Source organism: Homo sapiens, chromosome 2 (genome assembly GCF_000001405.40).
Source record: "Homo sapiens chromosome 2, GRCh38.p14 Primary Assembly".
NCBI lineage: Eukaryota > Metazoa > Chordata > Mammalia > Primates > Hominidae > Homo > Homo sapiens.
Window position 1 is genome coordinate 186,059,313 of NC_000002.12, and position 21,370 is coordinate 186,080,682.

A 21,370-nucleotide genomic window follows, 5' to 3' on the forward strand; every position below is an offset into this window, starting at 1 on the left:
AAATAGCTCTTTGGATTTCTGCCTTCCACCCCGGCTGATGGCAAAGGAGAGAGGTGGCAGTACAAAATCACCACCTTAGCCACCAACTGGTGGCTACTTTTGTCAGTTTCCACCCTATAGGTAACATAACTAGAGCAACCACTTATTATTACTCTGCACTTAAGTGCAGAGTATGTACTGAACCTGAGGAAGTACAGGTTTCAGCCAATGGTGGTTGTAGAGACATCAATAACTGCAGTGATCATTGAATTATTTAAAGTAATTTTTTAAATGATTGGGACCAAATTAGTTTTGTAGGAAATAATTTTCTTTGTTAAAACTCAGACATAGTGAATGATGAATATATAAAATATTCTCTCTCTCTCTCTCTCTCTCTCTCTATATATATATATATATATATAGTATATATAGTTTGTGCTGACGTTGGGTAGATTACAAAATCCTAAGGGAAAGATTCTCTTAAGTGGGTAAATGAAAGTCAATATATTTTAAAATTCTACCATTATCTTTCGGTGCCAAATAAAATGTGATTTCTGTTACTCATAACCAGGAAATTATATTCAGTGCTTTGTTTTATTTTGTATTTCCTTGTCTTCCAACATGCTGCAAAATGGCAGGCCCTTGTATTGTCAGATTTTAGGCCTCAGGGTTCCAGGGACAAAAGAAAGTATATATAAGCTACCAAAACAAATTTAAATATATATCATCTTTAACGATTTTGTAAAATTGATACTATCTTTTTAACAATTGACTAAAAGCACATTTAAACAATTTTAAACCAATAAACTCTAATGCAGATTCTAGGCAAGTAGCTATAATTTCTTAACAGCTTCAATCTTGCTGAGTATCAGTATGAGTTCAGCAATACAGAAGTTGCTATAGCTTCTGAAATTCAGAGATTACCATTTCCAGATGATAGAATTACCTTGAGATTTAACCCTGAACCCAGTTAATTAAAAGTTTCAATGACCTAATTTGCCTTCTCTACAATCACAAAAGCTGCAAGATTTCTGCTGTGCTCAAGTAGGGCTTTCCCATTCAAATAACAGAGAAAATAATCTTTAAATTTCCTGTGTAAATATAGAAATTGGGCTGCAATTAAGGTTTATGTCACATATTCATCCATAATATATTTAAATCCTTTTAACAATCTCATTTCAAACCCTACTCATTTTATTTCTATACTGTAGCCAAAAAAAAAAAATCTTCTATCTAAATCTGACTTCTATCCTTCTCTCTCTTCTACTCCAATTGATCAGGATCTGTTCAATCCAGCCGAGAAACATGAATTATTAAGAGCTGATGGATTGGGAATCTACCAGAGTGGATCTCATTGGACACAGTATTGCTTCCACTGTGACCCTGCCTAAATATTCTTTATTGTGCCTGTCTCAAAAAACTCATTTCTGGTGAAGGCTAAAAAGAAATAATTCTCATATTCCAGCTGCAGATTTTCTATCTGGATAACTTTATTGAACTTATTTAATTTATATTTTAAAAATCCTCTGGTTGCCAGCTGGCAGCCATAAATTTCAAATAGCAGTTCAAATGACTACAATTTAATTTATTTTATGATTCATCATTCAACTGTCCTTACTCATCAAATTGTACTTTATAAAATGCTGTGTATGCTTCCTAGAGATGTATTAGAGTGATTATAGATGAATTAAACATTATTAATCCAAGATGGTAACTGGCTACTATCTGATGCTGCTTAGTGACTTAATTATGTTAGACAGACTAAATTGTTTCAAATGAACCTTCACAAAGGTCCTTAATAAAATAAAACAGTGATTTTATTTTGTGTTATCTACTTTCTCCCAGAAGGTTTTCTAGAGGCTTCTGCAGTTTTCTTTTCTTTCCTATTAGCTAGAAAGCACAATCTAGTAAGCCTGTGAACCTTGCAGGAGCTTACATGGAAGATATTTCTCTGTCTTTGACAAGCACTATGGTAAGATTTGGGGCTGCTGTGTAAGCAGTAAGATTTAGTGGTTTTCTCTTAAGGGAGCTGGTTACAAAAGTGATTTAGAATGCCTTAGGAAATAAAGAAGAACTTTCCTATTGATAGTGTGTAGAGGGGATAAGTTTATATAAAATTTTGAGTGGAGTGGATATTTGAAATAGAGAGGAAGTTTCTAAAGTAGAATTTAAAGTGTCAGCAGATTCATAGAGGAACTGCCTTAGACAGCAGGCTATAAAAGATATTAAATTTTAAAATAAGGGGTTACATTATTACTTCAGTTTGCTTTGTGCAATACCAGAAGTTTAGGAATGAGGGTAGACAATTCATCTATTATTTATAAGACAGAGCATATTAGCCACGACTACAGAGAAGGAGGCCCCCTCACTGTTGGGCAGTGTGATGAGGGGTTGAATGTGCACAAGCTATTTCTCATTTCCAAAGCAGTTTGACAGGCAAGTCAAGTATATGAAAAAGTACAATGGGATAATAAACTTACTACACTTCTGAGCAAGATGTGCAGTGTAGCAGCCAAAGTGTGGGTCTTTGTGAGAAAGTAGCAGACAAAAGTGGTTCTCGGCAACTAAGAACTGTTTGGGACAGTGGAAGCTTTCTAGACTAGTTGTTGCTATTCTTAGTCTTCCCTCAGTATGATGTCCATGCTCAGCACAGCCAGCCATTGTATAGAATTAGTTCTTTCTCCTTCCAGTGCACATTCCCAAGAAGAAAACAGTATATGCACACCAACAATACAGAACTCTTATATTTAGAAACTTTTCAATTTCCAACACTTCTCTTATTTATGGAGTACCAAATAACATTGGAATTTTCCAGATGTTTTAACACTTTTGTTTCAAAGTATCATCTTTCCTGTGTAGAGTACAATGAGGCTGACCACAAAAAAAAATAGAAAAAAGAATAAGAATTCTATGTATTGCTATCGAAATTTTCTGTCATTACAATGTGTGCCTTAGCTTCTAGCAGGTAGGTATCTATCAAAAATATATCTCTAGTTCTATATTAATATTTATAAATTTTACATGGGGAATATGGACAAAAATAAAGAGTATGTTAAATCTAAAAACATTTTAAAATTAGCCACATAAATAGTTTCAGTACAAGCCCAAATTTTGTATATCTTATTGGAGAAAGTAAAAAACAAATATGGTTTATTCCACACAGGTAAAGTAGGAAGACACAAATGAGGAAATAAATAGCTTCTTTCCTGACAGTGGGAAAAGCATTAACAAAGAGCTCACCAACCTCTAAACATTATTAGTGCTCAGAAAAGGCCTAGAAGGGATTCATAATTAAGCCCTTGGGGGAAACACAAGAAATAAGTATAAAGTTGAGGCAGTAGAAAGGAAAGCCTGTTTTCAAAAAAAAAAAAAAGTATTGCTGAAAGTAACAAGAACTAGTTTGGTTTTAAAATATGAGCTCCCCAGAAGTAATTCCTAATGTAGAATCTTTGAACATTCCAATTGAAAATACACTGGACCTTAAAAAAGAAAACAAACAAATAAACAAAAACTCCCACAACCTCAAAAAACACTCCTGCAACCTCAAAAACTAGGACTGATGGTCAACTTCTGACAATCATTTGAGAGAAATTTACACCATAATATGATAAATCGGACAGAGAATTAATCATTATTTTTGCCAGAAAATGAGTAAAATTGTTAGCCAAAATTAACATTAGAAATATATTTTATTGAGTACTCCAGCTTTTCCTGGACAGATAAATGAAAAATCTGTAAACATTAAAACTGGCCATCTCTTATTTCTTTCAAGCAACTTGGGAATGGGTTACCTACTTCCTCTATAATTACTTTTTTCTACGTTTTCTGCATCCATTCTGAGACGAAATGCTACCCATGGCAAGTAAGTACATAGGAGGAGGGGAATGGAGTTAGCATAGATCATCCTGTTAAAGTTTACATCTCAAACATAACATTTTTAACTGGAATGACCAAGAAGCGGGAGCTACAAAGCTCAGTGACCTCAATGCATTTTGAAGATTATAGTTTTTCATGTACCTTTTCTTATGTGAATGTCGTAAAACCAACCTAAGAATGCATTCATCTGGGTTAGTTGTATTAACTAACATTAACAACTAATAATAAAGTTGTGTTAGTTAATACAACCAACCCAGATGAATGCATTCTTAGGTTGGACTAAGAACAATGCACATTCACTTGTGTTTCTGGTATTTTTCTACAAAGAGGATTCAGTCCTTCCCCAGGTCAACTGACAACACTTCAGTTTTCAATTTTGGCAGACTTTTGGTCTAGAGAGCCCTTTCTCTCTATTGATTATTATTGATTTCTTCCATCAGAAAAGAGAAGCAAACGCAATACAAATACATAGGTGTCATAAAATAACTGTGTTTTTAGACCCAAAACATATCATGAAGCAAAGATATCTTTGTACGCGTAAACATTAACCAGCCAGAAGATTCTTATTTATTAAATATCACTTCCTAAAAATTTGTTAAAAGTTGTGGCAACTGTAATTACTACTCCACTGCTCTAACTGGCTGTTAAGAAAAAAATAATAAACCAAAGAAAATTAGATCCTCTTCCCCTGCTACCAGCATCCCTGTATTCCTCAATAGAGACACACATGTGCATGCATACACTCACACTATTCACACACATGCACATACACACACACCCCAAACATTGACAGTGAAGAAAGAAGCAGGGAAGTCCTAATCATGCTCTAGTAACAAAGTGCTATGGAGGTGGGCTGGGGGTAGGGTGTCATGTTATAAAATATCTTAAGCCTAAATACAGCCTCTTTCTACGGAAGTTGTTTTATATTCATTACTCAAATGGATAACGCTTTGAGAACGATCCACATTCTACTAAGTATATGAAAATTGGGAAGATGGGAAGCTAAGACACAGTCCAGGACAACCAATTAACACTATCATAGGCAGTAAGGTTCCCAGGAAAAACAATATTTAAACAATGAGGAAGAAAATAAGAATTAGATGATCTTTTATACTTCTGTGGAGGAAGAAAATAACAATTAGATGATCTTTTATACTTCTGTGTTTTCACATTTTATGAAATAACTGTACTTCCAAAGATATTTTTTCTTTTTAAGGTTTTTAAATATTTTATCTGATTGTTTCACAAATATAGATGAGATGAATTTTAAAAGGCCAATTGAGATTAGCCCAGGACCTATTTACTCATTGATGTGATGTGACCAAAGTGTTACTGATATGGTTTGGCTCCACATCCCCACCCAAATCTCATGTTGAACTGTGATCCCCAGTGTTGGAGGTCGGGCCTGGTGGGAGGTGATTGGATCATGGGGGTGGTTTCTAATGGTTTAGCACCATGCCCCTAGTGCTGTCTCGTGATACAGTTCTCACGAGACCTTGTTGTTTGGAAGTGTGTAGCACTTCCCCCATCACTCTCACTTCCTCCTGCTCCAGCCATGTAGGATGTACTGGCTTCACTTTCACCTCCTGCCATGATTGTAAGTTTCCTGAGGCCTCCCTAGCTATGTTTCCTATACAGTCTATAGAATGGTGAGCCAATTAAACCACTAGCAATGTGAGAATTGACTAATACAGTGAGAAATAAATTTCCCAGTTCTTCAAAATTTATAGTTTTTAAAATGTTTGAAACATAAATATATTTCATAAATTCACACCTAATAATCTTTCATTTAAAGATTTTATCTTAATTGTTAAAGTTAGATTGTCCTTTCCCTGTCAATGATCTCATAGTTGTTACATAGCATTTTCCAAAGGTTGCTAATATTTATTACTTTGTCCACATTGTCTAATAACTGTTTCTGAAAGCATTCTAGGCAGAGAGAATAGGCAGTGCAAAGGTCCTGAGGGAGGAATCTGTTTGTCTGATTAGGAAACAGCAAGGGGACAAGCATATCCAGGGAAGACTGTTAAAGAGAGAGTGATAGGAGATGAAACCTGAGAGGAGGACAGGCCAGAACTTGAAGGCTTCCTTCGACATGACCAGAGTTTTTTTCACCCAAGTACGATAGGAAGATATGGGAGGGTTCTGAGCGTGTAAATGGCATGATCTGATTTGTATTTTAAGAGTGCCTAGCCTGTTATGTGGATAGTTGATCAGAAGGGAGAAAAAAAATGAGGAGAATGAACATATGTTTCAAAGTTTCTTCATTAACCCAGGCAAAAAACAATGATGGCTTGGTTTAACATGGTAGCCAGTTGGGGGTATAGGGGTAGGCAGAAAAGGTTAGAATTCAGATATATTTTGAAGAAAGTAATATCAGGCTGATGAACTGATCTGAAATGTGAAAGCAAGAGGAAGATAGGAGTCTAGAATAACTTGAAGTTTTCAAGCTTGAACTACTGAGTGAATGATGATGCCATTTAATGAGATTCCAGGGTCAGTGGGGAGACTATGTGTCAAGAAATGAGTCAGCTTTCAATATCTGTTAGACATTCAGTGGAAATGGTAAACAATTAGATGGATATACAAGTCTGGACATTTAGTGAAGACACCTGGACTAGAGAAATAAACTAGGAAGTCATGGAAGGTGTTGTATCACATTCAAGAGTTTGAAAATTTTATCTTGTGGGTAATGGGTACACTATGCAAGAATTTCAGTCAGGGAGGAGATATGCCAACAACTCTTAACTGTAGCAATTTTGTCTCCAAGCTCCTTGGTTTCTGGAGTGTGGGAAATGAGCAGCCTACACCAGGATTCAAAGAAACCATGTCCTCCTTGTAATTAATATAGATAGGTTTTATAATAATAAATAAAATACAACCTAAATCAATGAAGTGATATACTATTTTATTGAGCAGAATAATCAATATCATCAAGACGACAGTTTTAGCCCAAATAACTTATAAATTCAATGCAACTCTGATCAAAATTCCAACACTGATTTAACAGAAATTAACTTTCACATAAATTTCATACATATGAGTAAAAAGCCCAAACGTTTTTAAGTAACCCTTAGGAGGGACTCACTCCATCAGATAAGAATTGCTGTTAAATTACAATAATTGAAATTTGAGTATTGTTGCAAAGAATTAATATATCAAGAAACAGAATAGAGAACCTAGAAATTAATCCATATATGTGTACATGAGGCACTCAACAGGTGAAGTAGGGGCTATTCAATAAATGGTGCTGAATAAGTCGTTAGGTCTATTAACGAATAAGTATAGGGTGATCATTATGTAGCAGGCATTGTAGTTTACACTATTATTTTATTTAATCTTCTAAATGATATACGAGGTAAAGACTATTATTAATCCCATCTCATCGATGAAGAAACTATTGTACACAGAAGGTAGGTAACTTGGACAAGGACACACTGCTAATAAGTGGCAGAATCAGCATATCTCTATGATACAGGATAAAATTAAATCTCTACCTAATGCCATAAAGAAAAATAAATTTTATGTCAATTAAAGATGCAAAAATGAAAAGCCCATTTTAGAAGAAAATATTAGAAAATATTTTGGTGATTTTTTTTTTTTTTTTTTTTTTAGAGATAGAGTCTCACTCTGTTGCCCAGGCTGGAGTGCAGTGGCGTGATCTCAGCTCACTGCAAGCTCCGCCTCCCGGGTTCACACCATTCTCCTGCCTCAGCCTCCCGAGTAGCTGAGACTTCAGGCGCCCACCACCATGCCCGGCTAATATTTTATATTTCTAGTAGAGACGGGGTTTCACTGTGTTAACCAGGATGGTCTCGATCTCCTGACCTCGTGATCTGCCCGCCTCGGCCTCCCAAAGTGCTGGGATTACAGGCGTGAGCCACCGCACCCAGCTGTGAACAATTTTTAAGAAAATATTTTGTTTCATCCATGTCCCTACATAGGACATGAACTCAAGGACAAAAAAACCAAACACCGCATGTTCTCACTCATAGGTGGGAATTGAACAATGAGAACACATGGACACAGGAAGGGGAATATCACACTCCGGGGACTGTTGTGGGGTGGGGGGAGGGGGGAGGGATAGCATTATGAGATATACCTAATGCTAAATGACGAGTTAATGGGTGCAGTACACCAACATGGCACATGTATACATATGTAACAAACTTGCACATTGTGCACATGTACCCTAAAACTTAAAGTATAATAATAATAAAATAAAAAAATTTAACAAAATTTAAAAAAAAGAAAATATTTTGTTCACAAAAGATTTCTTTACCAAGATACAAAAGGCACTGATCATTAAGAAAAAGATGGATTCATGTGATGGCATTAAATACAAAAGCTTCTATACACCAACATCAAAATAAATGTATCAAATACATCACTAACACAGTAAAAAGGCATCCACAAACTGGGAAAAGATATTTATATGATCCCAAATTAGTATATACTAGGAAAGTCATAGTCATATTTAAAAATAATTCAGTACCAGTTATAATTAATAATAATGACTCTTAACCCCCCTTAAAATTTTTCTTCCTAGTCTTCCCATCCCTTTCAGGAGCTCCCTGACTTCCCCACGATGCAGCAGAGGACACCAAATCACCCTTAGCAAAATAGTGTTAGCTATTTTGAATATTGTGAATAAATATATTTATCAGTCACTCATGTGACTAATAGAGAGAGGAGATACTAAAGGTAACTGCATGTATGATATTTTATTATGTCAAAAAACAATAGAGATTGTTATAAAGATAATGTCAAAATATTAACATGGTAGGTTCACATTTATTATGTTTTTGTACATTTGAAATCCATTTAGTTAAAAAGATTTAAAAATAAATGAGAATTACATATTACCTATCAAAAATTAATACATGTTTCTAGGTTTTAACCCTGTAATCGGATTACCAAGGCAAAAAAAAAAAAAAAAAAGCAACAAGCCATAGTTAAAACCCTGGTGTTCCAGAAAAGACTCCTCTCTTACTTTATTCCTCACCTCAGGGGCATCATTAACCTTTTTCTGCACAAACTCTTTTTCTCCTTTTTCCTTGAGTGAATTTACGTGTTTGGTTTTATGCCTGGCTTGTTTTCTCTGCTCACCCCTGGATAATTGATGTTTGAGACTGTCTTTGCTTCCTGAGGTTAACTCATCTACCTCTGGTATCCACTCTGTGCAATGTAGGCACAAATTCTGTGGTTCGCCCTTTTACTAATTTGGCCCAAAAGGTGAGTTTAGGCAGCTGTTTTTGTCAGTTTTCTATTGCTATCCCAAAAATGTAGCGGTGTAAACAACTACATTTTAGTAATATATAACTCTGGGTTAGCAATTTATTTTGTGGTCAACTGTGTGGTTTTCTGCTGTCTGTGTCAGGGTCACTTATGTAACTGCAATGATATGGTGGATCAACTGCACATGGATGGCCTGAGATACCCTCATGTCTGGAGGCTGCAGCTGGCTGTCAGGTGGGCCATGTGTCTCTGGCAGACTGGCCTGGACTTTCTCACAAAGTGGCAGCTTTTCAAGAGATTAAGCTTCAATGTGTAAGCATTTGTAAAGCCTGTGCTTGTATCACATTTACTGGTGTCCCATTTGCCAAAGTAAGTCATGTGGTCAAGCTCAGAGTCCCATATTAAGGGGTAATATAGCAGAACAAAGACACAGGAATTCATGTGTGAATTGGATCTATTAACCTTTTAAAAGACAGTTGATTAAAAGACAGTTTTTTATAAAGTCATTCCCTTTTCTGCTTTATTGTGCTAGTCGGTAAGATGAAGGGTAAAGATGAAAGTGGGTAAATGGGTAAATCTGAGTAAATCTTTGATTTTTCACATGCATCATATTTCATTTTATGGGAAGTTTATTTAACACCAGTCAAGACCACCGCAAATTTGAACAGATCACTAAGCTAATTAACCAGAACATTCAGCTCTTTTAAAATCCTCATGCATTTGCAGAAATATCTGAACTTCATCATAAATGTCAGCACATCTATAGTTGAAATTTCATATTTTTATCTGCAACTTGATACCCTATTTTAACTTTATTTTTATGTAATGAATAAGATGGTCAAGTTAAGTATTTAAATCTTTAAGCTATAAAGAATTGTTTTCATTTTGCCTTTTTTTGTGCTTTTAACCTGGAATAACATAGATATTTCTTTGAAACTATATTGGTACTTTTAAGTTTTCATTTTTCATTTAATGTGAGAAAACTAACAACTGGCTTTTCAGCATCATATGTTAAATTACTAGAGATTTGATAGTTATATATAGATTTTAAAGAATGATCCCATTCTTCATTATAAATAATTTCTCTTAAGAGATCTCACTTTAGAAGTCTGAATGGGTTTCTACAACTTAAATTTGTATTACTCTTTTAATGTTTTATCCCTAAAAAACACAAAAGGGTGGTTTTATCCCTAAGTTTAGCAAATGCTATTTTGGTAACAGACCATAAAATATAGCTTTTAAGTCCTCTAAAATCGATACTCCCATTCAACTGAAGAAGAAATTGTTTCTTTTTTATTTTTTTGAGTTGTTTTTTTCCTAACAACAGTGCCCTTAACTATTCAGCATTCACATCTGTGACTTAAACACAGCTTGCTATTTCACCTCACATAAAAAGAAAGCCAAAATGCTGAAATCAGACTGTTCAGGACTTTGAAGGAACACAAGCAGGTTACTTCTTTCTAAACAGAAAGGAACCTCAGCACAATAGCCTGACATTGCACATTGCCTGCTGATCTACAAGTTAGCCACATGTGAGGAACCAGTTGACCAAGACAAACTAAGGACACATACGGATGGATATGCTATACATCATGTGTCCGGAGAGATTTGTTGCCAGTTACAGCATTTCTTTTAAAACATATGATGCTGGAGGATGTTATTATTTCTTCTGCACATATCTTACAAATTACAATTTAAGCACTGAAAAAAGAGACCTGCATTGTAAATTTAATAGTTGATTTACATGTTCCAATGGAGAAATAAAAGAACACATTCACTGATGTCTTAAATTAGCAAAACATTTCAATATCAATCATATTTTACTTTGAATTTCATGAAATATATCTATCAAATAGCCACATGTATTAAGTGAACATTCATATCCACTGTGAAGGCTACTATAAGCATAATTTTCTGTTTCAAAGCACATAACAACTGACGGAGGGGAAAGTAGTACAGGCACCACCTCTTCCTTGGCAGGAGGCTAGCAACTTCCATCTAAAATTTGCTACAGAGATAATTGAAAGTTAATCCTAAGTACAAAACATTACCCCAAATTTAGGTATGTGGAAATAAGGATACAAATAACCTTTAGAATCTATTCTAAAGTTTACACAACCACAACAATATAAACATGGAATCTAGAGAAAGAAAAATAACATTACCCTTGTTCTGTTTTTATCAGATCACATAGGGTAGAGTGCTAAAGTGCAAAGAGAGGAGTGATGTAGATAGTGAAGGTGATGCTCAACAATCCACTTATCTTATGAGTTGGAAACATTTTAATAGACAACTAGAGATAGGGGCAGTAGCTCCAAAGGATATAACTCTAACCACCAAGTAAAAGTTAAAAATAGGAAGATTTTGAAGCTGTATAAAATAAAAACTTCAACTCAAAAGAGTTACTAATAAAGCAAGCTGCTTATATGGTAGTCAATCTTCCATCACTGAGAATTTTTTAAAAAGTGGAAAGATTATTTGTAGACAAGATTGCTACACTGAGCAGGAGTTTAGGGTATAGAACTATAAGTATATTTTTAATAACAAGAAAATATTGCAGGCATTTTTTTAAAGTGGAGTTACTTTTGTTTTATGTTTTCTGAATTTAACAAAGAATACTACTTTTACATCAACCCATATGTAATATGGGTAATCAAATGTACTGGCAAAATAAACAATAACTTTAAAACATATGAACAAAGCATGTGCTCATATTAAAGAAATGTCTCTTGGGAATACAAACAAAATTACATTATTAGAAATTATCTCCTGTTGCTGTTCCCTAATTTCTAGGTAACATTCCTCAGACCCTGAATCTCTCCTCAAGCTTAGCTCAACTTTGGACCTTAAACCAGCTTGGTTCAAATTGTCAGTTACCAATAAACCTTAGATTTTCTTTCGTGGATTAACTGCTTCTTCCTTTATTAACAGAGCAATCCTATTATGTCAAACCAGACTTGTTCCAGATGGAATGGTATATTCTAGATATCCTAAAAAGTCATAAATGGTAAAATGAAAACAATAAAATAAGTTGGACATCATCTGAAATGACCTCTTTATTTTACAGATACTTTTGGAGGAATCCAACATACCAGAGGTGACCATAGAAAGCTTATCCTCTGGGTAAGATTCTGAGATTGGATTACTCACCCACTGTATTAGTTTCCAGAAAAACAGAACCACATATATATATAAATTAAAGAAGAGAGAGAGAGAGAGAGACAGAGAGAGAGAGACCAACCTAAGTTTTACATATGGGGCAGAGAGACAGATTTATTATAAGGAATTGGTTCATGTGATTATGGAAACAGGCTAGTTCCAAGGATATGCAGAATAAGTCAGTAAGTTAGAGAACCAGGATAGCCAATGATTTAGTTCTAGTCTGAATCTGAAGACCTGAAAACCGGAGAGCCAATTTTGTAGTTTCCATCTGAAGGCTGGCAGGCTTGAGACCCAAGGAGAGTTGATATTTTAGTTAGAGTCCAAAGGCAGAAAAAAAAAAATTCCAGTTCTAAGGGCAGTCAGGCAGGAAGAATTCTGTCTTAATTGGGAAAGTATTATCCTTTTTGTTCTATCCGGGCCCTCAACTAATTGGAAAAGGCCTAAGCACACTACAGAGGATAATCTATTCTACTCAGTTTACAAATTTAAATGTTTATATACCATCTAAAAACACCTCCACAGAAACACTTAGAATAATGTTTAACCAAATATTTGGGCACCTCATGGCTTGGTAAAATTGACACATAAAAAGCATCACACCTGCCATATAGCAATAAGGAACCATTTTTTGTTTTGTTTTGTTTTAAGTGGAGTTGCAATCATTCCTGGAATATAGTAGCTTTAGAGTAAATAAGATTCTTGTTTTTGATGAATTGGGATGGCACACAGGTGGAAATGTGATAGCTTATCCAATATCCGTATTGTGTGACGGATATAGTGGCAATGATACTATCAGAAATGTGTAACTGTTAAGTGCAATTGATTCACTGAACAAAGAAACAGACAGCCTGAAATTAGCCAACCACCATCTAGGGTCAGGTTTGGAAGCCAAAAGTCCTCTATGGTGGTGTTTTTTTAAAAAAGCTTCATCTTCAGCAAGGAAACAGTAGATTAGTCTGAAAACTAGGCCAAGATTTGGTTGTAACTATAGCAGAATTGCAGAGAAATTTTAAATTAATAACCCTATCAACTTTCCTCTGCTGACATCAAAGCACTAATAAGAACTACTATAACATCTGGTTGATGCACTTAAGAGCTTTGATTCTCTGATTCCCTGGAACCCTCTGATCCAGGGGTTCTAGCCAACTATACTCTTGCTAGAAGATAGCACCCTCCCTCGCCTGGAAATAATATAGAAGCGTTAGTTAGAATACATTTTGCAAGAATATATTTGTCCTGCTTAAGAAGTATCCTTCATGGCTTCTAAGCATCTAACTAGGTCTTTTCCAGCTGAGAAAGAAAGGGCTGCCCCAGCTTTGAGAAAAAATAAATTATTTGCCAAAAAGCCCCAGTGAAAACAGCTAAGGATTAGAGCTTAGGAGTGATAGACTGGCTTAATAAAAGAGTGGATAAGACTTGGGTTTTTAAAAAATTGTTTCTTTATCCAGTATTAACTCTAAACAATTACTTGCAGACACTCCAATCTGAGAAGTATGGTAATGACAAGCTTAGACATTCACTGATGAGGATTCTGTTATCCAACCAAAGAAGGGAATCTAGAGCAGCCGAGCCATCTAAGCATGAGAGGATTCTAGATCAGGTGCTAGAGAAAGAAGATGAATTTCCATTGCAGCCTTAGTACCAATTACAGCAGGGTGACTGTAGTTTTTCTCACCAACCCTGTGATTTTAAATGTTTGTTTTTTTAAAAAAAGTAACCAGGTACCACTTTTAAGAAACAGTAATTAGATGTAGTTAATATAAGATGTAAATATGCAGAAAACAGAAACTGGACCCCTTCCTTACACCTTACACAAAAATTAATTCAAGATGGATTAAAGATTTAAATGTAAAACTTAAAACCATAATAACCCTAGAAGAAAACCTAGGTAATACCATTCAGGACATAGGCATGGGCAAAAACTTCATGACTAAAACACCAAAAGCAATTGCAACAAAAGCCAAAATTGACAAATGGGATTTAATCAAACTAAAGAGCTTCTGCATAGCAAAATAAACTATCATCAGAGTTGAACAGGCAACCTACAGCATGGTAGAAAATTTTCACAAGCTACCCATCCGACAAAGGTCTAATATCTAGAGTCTACAAGGAACTTAAACAAATTTACAAGAAAAAAAAACCATCAAAAAGTGGGAAAAGGATATGAATAGACACTTCTCAAAAGAAGATACTGATGTGGCTGACAAACATATGAATAAAAGCTCATCATCACTGATCATTAGAGAACTGCAAGTCAAAACCATAATGAGATACCATCTCACACCAGTTAGAATGGTGATCATTAAAAAATCAGGGAACGATAGATGCTGGCGAGGGTATGGAGAAATAAGAATGCTTTTACACTGTTGGTGGGAGTGTAAATTAGTTCAACCATTGTGGAAAACAGTGTGGTGATTCCTCAAGGATCTAGAACCAGAAATACCATTTGACCCAGCAATCTCATTACTGGGTATATACCCAAAGGATTATAAATCATTCTACTATAAAGACACATGCACACGTATGTTTACTGCAGCACTATTTACAATAGCAAAGACTTGGAACCAACTCAAATGCCCATCAATGATAGACTGGATAAAAAAATATGTGGCACATATACACCATGGAATACTATGCATCCATAAAAAAGGATGAGTTCATGTCCTTTGCAGGGATGTGGATGAAGCTGGAAGCCATCATTTTCAGCAAACTAACACAGGAACAGAAAACCAAACACTGCATGTTCTCACTCATAAGTGGGAGCTGAACAATGAGAACATATGGACACAGGGAGGGGAACATCACACACCAGGGCCTGTCAGTGGGTGGGGGTCAAGGAGAGGGAGAGCATTAGGACAAATACATAATGCATGTGGGGCTTAAAACCTAGATGACGGGTTGATAGGTGCAGCAAACCACCATGGCACATGTATACCTATGTAACAAACCTGCACGTTCTGCACATGTATCCCAGAACTTAAAGTAAAATTTGAAAAAAACAAAAGATGTAAATAGATCTGAGCAGTAGAAAGGCTAGACTATAGTCGATATTCTCAGGGGTCCACTTATCTCAAACCTTACCACAATCAGTGTGATCTGGACAAATTCTAGTTTAAAATGTCTGCATCTCTGTGATTAAGGCATGTTTCTGAAACTGGGGAAGGCCACTTTCTGGAAATGCAAAGGAATCACCACCACCAGAAGCAAACTCAATAAATGATTCTTGGGAGGTGGTTATAAATGTCTAATTATCCTCACCACTCAGGTGAGATATTCTTTTATTTTTTATAAGCTTTACTGAGGTGTAATTTACACAACTATTTTATATAGAAAGATATAAATCATCTATTTAAAGTATGCAGTTTAAAGTTTATAATTTGAAATTTTTTGTTATAATCACAGATGTGTTACCATCGCTATAGTCAATTTTAGGACATTTTCATCAACTCAAAAATAAACTCTCTACTAGTTAGCTGCCATTCTCCAATCTCCCAATCTACATGCCAGCTCTAAGAAATCACTAATTTACTTTCTGTCTCTATATATTTGCCTATTCTGGACATTTCCTATAAATTGAATCATATAATATGTCATTTTTGTGATTTACTTCTTTCACTTAGCATTAATGTCTCAAGATTCGTCCATGTTGTAGCATGTATCAGCACTTCATTCCTTATTATGGTTGGATAATATTTGTCTTTCATTTTACTTTTTGTTTCTATTTATCTCACGTCTTTTTGTTCGATGCTGCTTTCATTGTTTTATTTTGATTGTTAATATTTTCTAGTGCGATCATTAAATTTCTTTAATAACATCTTTAGGACAACTTTTGACTTATTTCTTTAGTGATTGTTCTACAGCTTATTATATACAGTTGAATTTTGAACATGGGTTTGAACTACACAAGTCCACTTATACAAGTATTTATGACTGCCTCTTCTACCTCCCCTTTCACCTCTTCCTTCTCTACCATCCCTGAGACAGCAAGAACAACCCCTCCTCTTCCTCCTTCTCCTTAGCCTACTCAATGTCAAAATGTCAAAGATGAAGACATTTATGATGATCCACTTCAACTTAATGAATAGTAATATTTTTCTTCCTTATAATTTTCTTAATAACATTTTCTTTTATCTAGTTTACTTAATTGTAAAAATATAGTACTGTTTATGTTATTAATAAGGCTTCCAGTCAACAGTAGGCTATTAGTTAAGTTTTCAGGGAGTAAAAATTATAGGGGATTTTTTTACTGCATGTGGAGTCAGCACCCCTAACCCCTACATTGTTCAAGGGTCAGCAGTACATGTTAATGTGTCTGAACCAGCTTCAGATGTGTACTAACTTAATTCCAGTGAGATATACAAATGTTACACCTACATAGCTCTATTCCCTTCTCCTGTCTTATAGTATTATTTGTTGTATATCTTACATCTATAAATATTACAAACCCAATGATAGAATGTTATAAATATTAATTTACATAACTTTATGTCTTTAAAAGAAACTAAAAGGAGACCAAGTATATATTTATAGCTTTTGTTATATCAACCTTTCTATTTATCATTTCTCCATTTGTTCTGGTAGATTCCAGTTACCATCTGTTAGCATTTATTACTCCAAAATGAATCCGTTCCCATTCACCATTTTTCTGCTGTTTTTATCAAATGTATTGCATTTCCGTACATTATAGGCGCAATAATAGATACATACATATTGTTTTATACAATTGCTTTCTAAGTAATGAAAAAGAAAAATATGCATTTATACTGTCTTTTGTAAGTGCATAATTATCTTCACTAATGCTTTTGTTTTTTCAAGTGACCATCTGAGGTCACTTACTTTCAAGCTAAAGAACTTCCTTTAGTACTTCTTGTAAGATGAGTCTGATAACAACAAATTCTCTCCATTTTGGTTTATCTCCAAATGTCTATTTTTTCTTAATTTTTGGAAGATAGCTGTGCTAAGTATAGGCTTCCTGGTTGATAGTCTTTTTCATCCAAGTGCTTTGAATATGTTATCCCACTTTCGGCTGGTCTTCATTTTTTTCTGATGAGAAGTTAGCTATTAATTTTAATGGTCTATCTTTGTAAGCGACAAATTGTTTTTCTCTTGCTGCCTTCAAGATTTCCTCCTTGCCTTTGGCTTCTAGCATTTTTACTGTCATATATCTGTTTGTAGCTCTCTGTGTTTATCCTGCTCAGAGTTCACTGAACTTCCTAGATGTGTGGATTCTTGTTGTTCAGTAAATTTTGGAAGTTTTAAGCTATTATTTTTTTGAATATTTTTTCCTTGTCTCCTGATATTCTTAATATGCATATATTGGTATGTTTAATAGTATTCAACCCTTCTCTGAGGATCTGTTTATTTTTCTTCATTTCTTTCCTCTGTGTTTTGAACTTGCATAATCTCTATCAATCTATCTTCAAGCTCAATTCTTTCTTCTGTCAATTTACGTCACCAAATTCAATGATACAATGTTATAAATATTAAGCACCACTAGTTAATTTTTCATTTCAGTTATTGTACTCTCAGCTCCAGCATTTTATTTCCATTTGGTTCTTTCTATAAATCATTTTTATCTCTTTATTTTTATTCTCTATTTTATACCACATTGTCTTCATAGCTTCTTCTATTTATCATTTTTTAAATTTCTTTGAACATATTCATAATGATTATTTTGAAATCTTTGTGTGTTAAAATCTGATATCTGGTTACTCTCGCAGGTAGTTTTAAATGCCTGCTTTTTTTGGTGTTTGAGTCATACTTTTCTGTCTCTTTTTATGTCTCAAATTTTTTTGTTGAAAACTGGGCATTTTAAATAAATTATAACAACACTAGGTACTGGCCATCCCTCTTCAGAACTTATTACTGCTATTTGCTTATTAATTTGTTTAATGACTGTCTAGATTATTTTTGTGAAGTATCCTGGAACATAAACTGTTCCACAGATAAAGATATTCAAATCTGGGCTCCTTTGAGAGGTAGTTCCGGAGGCCAGTGGTTAAGATTTTTTGTGACTCAGGTGGATTCCAGCTGCTATTTCCTAGGTTCTGTCAGGCAAACTAACTGGCCTGCAGTCTAACACATATGTCTGATGAATCTACCAACTCCTTCCAATTGCCTTTCACAATTACCTCCACTGTTTCTGAGAGCACTTTTAGGCTTGAATTTCTTCAGCCTGGGTTACACATAAAATGAGTTCCTTGGGGAAGAGATTAGTAGTTATTAGTTTTATGCTTTGCTTCTCTCCAGGCAAAATATCTGAGCTATGTCTCTGGATCTGGGAGTAGGGACAATGGTGCACTTCTCTATGAGTGACAGCCGCCACTTTAGGAGCTAAGTGCTTCATTAGGGTTGAGAAGGCACTCAGCAGCAGCCTCATATCTTGTCAGATTGCCTCTTCCATGGTGGGGCCACCACTTTATGAATCTGAGTCATGGAGACTGAGTCTTCAGTATTTTCAGTAGCTCCCTGCCTAAAGCATAACCTTTATACCATGAGTGGAGGTGGGCAGGAGAAGGGATTTCCTGCCTCTCAGGAACTCTCATCAAGAACTTAGGCTCAAGGGTAGGTAACTGGGGGAAGGATGAACCATCCTGCTTCCCCAGAGATGAAAGCCCTCTTACAGTCCCACCAACACTAGTTCAACCATTGTGGAAGACAGTGTGGTGATTCCTCAGGGCTCTAGAACTAGAAATACCACTTGACCCAGCAATCCCATTACTGGGTATATACCCAAAGGATTATAAGTCATGATGCTATAAAGACACATGCACACATATGTTTACTGTGGCACTATTCACAATAGCAAAGACTTGGAACCAACCCAAATGTCCAACAATGATAGACTGGATTAAGAAAATGTGGCACATATACGCCATGGAACACTATGCAGCCATAAAAAAGGATGAGTTCATGTCCTTTGTAGGGACATGGATAAAGTTGGAAACCATCATCCTCAGCAAACTATCGCAAGGAGAAAAAACCAAACACTGCATGTTCTCACTCATAGGTGGGAATTGAACAATGAGAACACTTGGACAAAGGAAGAGGAACATCACACACCAGGGCCTGTTGTGGGTGGGGGGAGTGGGGAGGGATAGCATTAGGAGATATACCTAATGTAAATGACGAGTTAATGGGTGCAGGACAGCAACATGGCACATGTATACATATGTAACAAACCTGCACGTGGTGCACAGGTACCCTAGAACTTAAAGTATAATTAAAAAAAAAAAAAAATATATATATATATATATATATATAAAAAGAAAGAAAGCCCTCTTACTGGGAGCTGAGAGGAGAAGGAGACCTGTGTTTTTGGCTGAAATAGTCTGGAGTAGTTTCTTTCTTGATGATTTGGGAGAAGGGAGGAAGAGAGTGAGTCTCTATGCAAATACCAGATTCTCACCATTCTTACCAATTTTTAGTAGATTTTAATTAGTAAATATTTATTTTCTCTATACCTTTGGGATCATTTCCCAAAGACTTAAAAGAGTGGGTTTTTAATAAATAATTTTTACCAGTTTCACTTGGGAACGGGTCCACAAAACTCACATTGTCATACTGGAAGTACACCCTCCAAGTGGTATACTTCTGAGGCATGTGTTCCATACCAATTTCTGATACAGGTCCAACTGACCACAGGGTTAGTACACTTTAACTGCCACCTTCTGTTAGCTGCTTTCCCTACCCAGCATCACTTCTGTACTCTTCTATTAATGTACTTTGAAACCCTCAAATAAACTCCTTGCTCCTGAATCCTTATCTCAGAATTGGCATTTGAATGATGCTAACCTGAGATCTCAAAAATAACCTTTAATCTTTTGACTTCTGCAATTAAACACTTAGAGATATAGAGATTGAATGAATAGTGGGTAGAATACAATATGAGAACCTGGAAAGAGGATGGGATCCAGAACACGGTGCTAAGATTAGGTTTATATAAGAGAAGGGATACTTCCTCCCTTAAAGCAGGACAGCAGGAGGAAGAAAGAGAGAATGGATGAAAATGCAAGCATATGTATGCATTTGGTAGCAAGATTTTCACTATTGAGATGACTTTCCACTAGAATCTTTATACTACCTAATGTCCTTTAGCTTCACAGAATGCCTAAACACCCTAAAGATATGCTTGCTTGCTAAAATACCCAAATGATGAGCCTAAGGCTTCCTTTCCTTTAAAGCCCCTTTGGATGCCACTGCTGAAGTTTGCCTGAAACTTCTCTTCATTATTGTACTCAAGTCTAATTTAGCATGAGTGTCTCATTTATTGTTTCAATATGTTAGTATACACAATAGGACTATGATCCAATCTTTTAGAACTGAGAACTCTTTCTCCTCCTTTGGATGCCCTTCTATCTCTGCACTGCTCCATTAGCATTGATTTTAAAGATGAACTCTCAAAGGACTAATTTACTTATATTTCTTAGTGAAGTTTCCTGCTGTAAATCTACATATTCACTGACAATCTGATGAAAAAGACAGGTCCTGGAGAGGTTAAGAAAAGGGAGAGCATATTCAGTTAGAGATGCTGAGTATACTCTTCCTTTTAAAAACCAAATATTTCTTTCTTCAAGAAAGATTCAATACATAAGATAGATTTGGACTTTAAAATGGACCTTGAATGATGAGCAAAGCAAGCAAAAAGCTGAAACGGTGGTTTGGGTAAAAGGAAATGACAAATCACAAAGCACTAAATATGTTTGAGGAATTACAAGTTTAACAAGATAGATTTCATAAAGTTTAAAGAGAAAATTCAGAGAGATAGGTTTGAAACATGTTATGAAAGGCCTTAACAAAACAGTGTGCTTAATTTGATAGACAATGGAGGAGTATAAAAAAGTTAATTTAGAAGTTTGTCTTATTTAAGCCAGGCTTTAACAAACGCTATACAAAATTATGTAGTTTTGTCTACATTCTTTGTAATACCTACTGTATCACTGTGACCATTAATTTAGACATGGGGTTTTTCATATAGTCATCTTGGAATCTGTGTATCTTTTTACTTCGTAATACCTCAAAACTAATTATGATAACAGGCAACACATTTTCAGATACTATTATCATTCTTGTTTCCTCACCATGCTTAGTTAGTCCTGAAAGCATGCCTGTCTAT

The 21,370-nt window shown here is 35.2% G+C and overlaps 1 long non-coding RNA gene across 1 annotated transcript in view; it reads right to left on the bottom strand.

Moving 5' to 3' along the window:
* LINC01473 (long intergenic non-protein coding RNA 1473) overlaps positions 1-21,370 on the bottom strand; it is a 52,787-nt gene that overhangs the window by 25,782 nt on the left and 5,635 nt on the right. The window lies entirely within an intron of this gene.